The sequence below is a fragment of the Homo sapiens genome, chromosome 2, assembly GCF_000001405.40.
Source record: "Homo sapiens chromosome 2, GRCh38.p14 Primary Assembly".
Lineage (NCBI taxonomy): Eukaryota > Metazoa > Chordata > Mammalia > Primates > Hominidae > Homo > Homo sapiens.
The window spans coordinates 112,707,879-112,713,391 of NC_000002.12; the positions used below are offsets into that span (position 1 = coordinate 112,707,879).

Consider the following 5,513-nt stretch of genomic DNA (forward strand, 5'->3'; position numbering starts at 1 on the left):
TTGCTGTAATCCCCTAAAATTCTGGAGTTGTTGGTTACAGCAGCCTAACCTGGTGAAAGGTGACTCCTGCTAGGAGACAGTGTTGGCTGTGCTCAGTCACAAAGCACCAGACGGCTCTGAGGATCTGGTTCCTTGCTCGCAGTGTCCTCTGTTTGATCTGGATCAGCTGTCCGTTGATAAAGAAGCTGAGCTGTAATCACAGCACTTTGGGAGACCAAGGCAGGTGGATCACCTGAGGCCAGGAGTTTGATACCAGCCTGACCAACATGGTGAAGCCCCACCTCTGCTAAAAATACAAAATTAGCCAGGCGTGGCAGTGCATGCCTGTAATCGCAGCTACTTGGGAGGCTGAGGCAGGAGAATTACTTGAACCTAGGAGGTGGGGGTTACAGTGAGCTGAGGTCGCACCATTCCACTCCAGCCTGGGCAATGAGAGCGAAACTCTGTCTCAAAAAAAAAAAAAAAAAAGGAACCTCAGGTTGTTTTTACAGGAACCAAGATGTCCCACACTTAGGGACTTTTCTGTACTTTCTATATGATGTGGAAGTGCCAATAGCTGGGGATTTTCAGGAAGTTATTTGGCAATGCAAAACAAGAGTTCTAAATAATTTTCACTTCTAGAAATCAGCTCAAGATAATAATTAAAAATACACAGGGAGGTTCATGGTAGAGTTATTTGAAAAATTGGAAGCCACCTAAATGCCCCATTACAGGGCAACAGTGTATACACTATTCTATGTGATGGACATTATGAAGCCATTAAAAATCAAGTTGCTGAATATTTAATGACATAAAGGAGATGTTGGTTTTTAATATTGAATGAAACAAACAGGACACAGAACTGCATATGTATAACAGTCCTAATTTGCAGAACAAATTTAGGATTGTGCCGTTTATAATTTTATATATTTTTTTCACTTACACTTGTGAATAAACATTTCCCCTCAGTCGTCAAATAAGTAAATATGTATAAAAAGAAGACCAGGAAGGAAATAAGCAAAAATAGCGGTTATTTCTAGTAGAGAGCATTTCCTTTCCTGTACTTTCTATATTTTCTAAACATTCTACGATGAATGTGTACTACTTTTATAATAAAAAAAAGTGGCTGCTACTTAAAAATGAGAATTATTCCGGTCACCTCTAGGGCTGTGCCTTTGTGCTGTGCTTACCCAGGGGCCTTAACTGGGGCTCCTCGTCTAAGAATAAGCCTGTGTGTTTAATTAGGTCACTCTCCTGCCGACCTAGAATCTCCGCACAGGGCTTAGCTTGTGCTGCCCAGAACCCCCCAGGAGCCGCCCTCCGAGGGAACTCTCAGCTTCTCACAGACAGGCACTGCTTCTGCCTGCTGAGTGTGAATTTGAGACTTCTGTGAACTGTCACTCCTACAGAGCTGCCACTCTCAGGTCTCTCCAACCTATCTTCTTTAAAAATCAATTCAGACGGCCGGGCGCAGTGGCTCCCGCCTATAATCCCAGCACTTTGGGAGGTCAAGGCGGGCGGATCACTTGAGGTACAGAGTTCGAGACCAGCCTGGCCAACATGGTGAAACCCCGTCTCTACTTAAAAATACAAAAATTATCTGGGTGTGGTGGTATGCACCTGTAATCTCAGCTACTCGGGAGGCTGAGGCAGGAGAATCGCTTGAACCCAGGAGGCAGAGGTGGCGGTGAGCCGAGATCGTGCCACTGCACTCCAGTCTGGGTGACAGAACGAGACTCTGACTCAAAAAAAAAAATCAATTCAGACATAACTTATTGAAGAGAAAATGAAGACGGGAACATTTTAACCATTTTGGATGATGATAATTCATTAATTCAATAATGAACAATAGCTGCGGTGCCAGGCAGCTACTGTTCATTGTTTCCTATGGCCTTCCCTGTATGTCCTGTGTCACATGCATTCAGGCTCTGGAGTGACTGGTGTGTGGACAGAGGGAGAGGGAGAGTTCTCAGAAGTCAAGCTGGTGTGACAGCTGGAAAAGCCGCCTGGGAAGGAGCTCATCCCAAGGGCAAAAGGAGCTTGGCACAACCAGCTTGACCCAATAGAGAGGCCTTCAGTAGAGACTTCCTGGTCTGCTTCCCCACGTGCTGTTTCACTCACATCTTTATCCAGGTCTGGCCCTTGTGAGGGTGTGCAGTGTGCGGTGTGGGGTGCTGTGCGGTGTGGTGTGCATGTCTGAGTGTGAGTGAGTGAGAGTCCAGGGTCTAGTGTCCACGGGGGAAGCTGCAATGGAGTCAGGGAGCAGAATTGGGGACAGTTGGAGAAGGGGCAGCTGGGACTGGCAGCCTCATAGGGCAGAGTCTGTGAAAAAATAGTACAGCCCCATCCACTTTCAAAAATAGTCTTCTGTAACTGTTTTAGAATAACCCATGTGAACTGTTGGTGACACCTTGGACCTTGTCATCTCCCAGGCTGCTCCACATCTGAAACCTTACATTTTATCATCTTTCATGGTTTTAAATTCAGGTAGGAGGTACATACAGTGATGTACATGAATTCCTATGCCCACTGCTGGGTCTGTAAGATTCACGCATGTTATTGTGGGTAGCATGTTTGGTTTTTCTTCATTGCTGATTCCACTGGGTCGACACGTCACCATTTATTGACCCATTCTGGAACTGTTGAACATTTGGGTTGTTTTCAGTTTGCGACGATGTTGGATAAAGATGATGTGGCATTTTGCACACGTCTTTTGGTGGACACAAACCATTGTCTTTTTTTGCTTGCTTGTTTTGGGATGGTGTCTCACTCTGTCATCCAGGCTGGAGTGCAGTGGCAGGATCTCGGCTCACTGCAAACTCCACCGCCTGGCTTCAAGCGATTCTTCTGCCTCAGCCTCCTGAATAGGTGGGACTACAGGTGCCTGCCACCATGCCTGTCTAATTTTTGTATTTTAGTAGAGACAGGTTTTCACCATATTGTCCAGGCTGGTCTCAAACTCCTGACCTCAAGTGATCCGCCTGCCTCAGCCTCCCAAAGTGCTGGGGTTATAGGTATAAGCCACCGCAACCGTCCCACACCATTGTCTTTTAACCCACTTTCCTTCCTGTGGCCTCTTTGCTGCTCATTGAGACTCTGGTCCTTCAGCCCTGCTGGGTTTCTTGCCCATCAGTCTGGCTACTTGCCCTGAAGTCATTTCTTTCTTGGCTAAGACTCCTGCAAGGGTTGTCTTTCATAGGCTGTTCCCACGTCTGCACCCTCCTCTCCCTCCTGACTCCTGCCCTATCTCACCACTGACATCTCATCGGCCAGCCAAGGCCTCCTCTGACCTATTGCCTAGTGTAGGGGGCACTGGGGCCTTCTCTCCTTCTGCCTTTCTGCAGCACAGTGCCTGCTCCAGGGGCTTGGGCCAGCCTTTCTCTTCCTCCTCTTCCGCTCCTCTGCCTGCTTCCTCTTGGTCTTCTCTGCTGGGTCCTCTCCTGTCTCCATCCTACCTGGTTGTTCCCGGGGCTCCGTTCTTGCCTCTCTTTCTGTCCCTCTCCAAGGGTCCTGGTGCTCGATCTTTAGCTGCCATAGATGCCGATGCAACATCTCTCATCCTTGCTCCCTAGGTCCAAAAATCTAGGGGGTTTTCCAAACTCATTTGATGGAAAACCTTGATAGGCCTGGACAGGAGGTTATTTGCTGTCCCTATGTAGCCACTTCGTGTGAATGAATATTCATATGTTGGCTGCAGGAATGTCAATGTGTTTGACTGTGGGCTGCTGCCCCAGATCCCAACAAGGGTGTGATCGTGCATATATAGAGGAAATTATGTTTTACCTTCTTACATCCAGAAATTATTAAATCTAGCTGGGTATGGTGGCTTGTGCCTGTAATCCCAGCTAGAGGCTGAGACCAGTGTATTGCTTGAGCCCAGAAGTTCCAGACCAGTCTGAGCAACAGAGTGAGACCCCCGTCTCTAAAAAGATTTTTCTTAAAAGGAAAATACTGAGGCTGGGTGCAATGGTTCATGCCTGTAATCCCAGCACTTTGGGAGGCCAAGGCGGGCAGATGACCTGAGGTCAGGAGTTTGAGACCAGCCTAGCCAACATGGTGAAACCCTATTTCTATTAAAAATACAAAAAAATTAGCCAGGCATGGTGGCGGGCACCTGTAATCCCAGCTGCTTGGGAGGCTGAGGCAGGAGAATTGCTTGAACCAGGGAGGCGGAGGTTGCAGTGAGCCAAGATCGCACCATTGCACTCCAGCCTGGGCAACAAGAGCAAAACCCCGTCTCAAAAAAAGAAAAGAAAAGAAAAGATTGAATCTGAATATATCTGGCCCTAATGGGTTCAGATTAGGAATTGTAGACCTGCAACTCCCAAGTGTGCCTCAGCCCAGGCCTCCCCAGCTCATGAATGGGGCCGTTCACCCTCCTGACAAGCCCCCTTCCTTCTGGCATCCCTGGGTGGGTGACCCCATACTCCTCTGGCTCCTTAGAATCTAAGCCTCTTCCCTCACCAAGATCCCCTACGGCTGATCAGTTCTCAAGTGTTGACTAACGTAGTGTAGTGGGTCTCTGGGCTGTCCTCCCTTCTCTATTTTCCATCAATTCAGGCTCTCAGTAGTGCCTTCCTGGGCTACTGCAGTGACTTCTCAGCAGCTCTGCTTTATCTGAGCTTCCAATGCCTCCTTGAGCTGACCCCAGGGGCAGCTTTAGAAACATGGTGGAGCACATCCTCATCCTGCTCAAGATGCTGCCTGGCTCCCCACCACCTACAGGATCAAGGTCAAGCTCTTTAGTGGAACACAGGAGCCTCCCAATCTGGCCTTGCTCCCTGCTCGCATCTCCCATGGGTCCCTGGGGACTGGTTGTGGGCGGGTCACACCCCTTCTCCCTTTCACACTCACTGTTGTTCTGCTAAGAATTCTTCTTGTGGGTCTGCCCAGGGGGCTCCTGTTCAGCTTTCAAAAGAGAGTGGGCATCACCTTCTCCTGGAACTGTCTTCACCCCGGACCCCTACAAAGGCCAGGTTTTTGGTGAAATACAACTCTCCTGTTGATGTCCTGCTTCTATATTTTACGCCCAAAGCCCCGTGACTGTAATGCGGCCAGGGAGATCGACCCTTCTTGCACAGGGGATTAGGTCACTCTCCCTCTTGCCACTTTCCACATATGGTCTGTCACCTACAAGATAAAGTCCCTGGAGAGCCACTGCAGCATGCCCCAGCTCACCCCTCATGCCCTTCTGCTGCCTTCCCAGTCACGTGTGCCCCCCTCCGGCCAGGCCTGTCTGCTTGCGATTCCTGCCCACTGGCCAGTCTGTCGCTCAGCACCATTCGTGGACACCCTTGCATGAGTGCGGCTCCACCTGCCCTTGCCTGGTGGCTTATCCTTCAAGACTTCCTTCTCCGGAAAGCACTCCCTGATCCCCCTGGGTGCTCAAGGACATGGGCTCATCTTTTCACTGTTTCCTAGTAACATGTGTTTTCTGTCTCCTCCTGTACTGTGAACTCACTAAAGGACAAGTGACACATCTTACTCATAGTTTTGAACCCAGCTTCCAGCGTGGGCGTGGCGGAGGCAGATGC

At 49.1% G+C, this 5,513-nt stretch overlaps 1 annotated feature.

Annotated features, from left to right (window-relative positions):
• Positions 495–674: an enhancer, noted in NCBI's record as "active region_16397". NCBI's record gives its function as "activates an Ori minimal core promoter by ATAC-STARR-seq in GM12878 lymphoblastoid cells {active_cell/tissue: GM12878}" and the evidence as "EXISTENCE:reporter gene assay evidence [ECO:0000049][PMID:35858748]".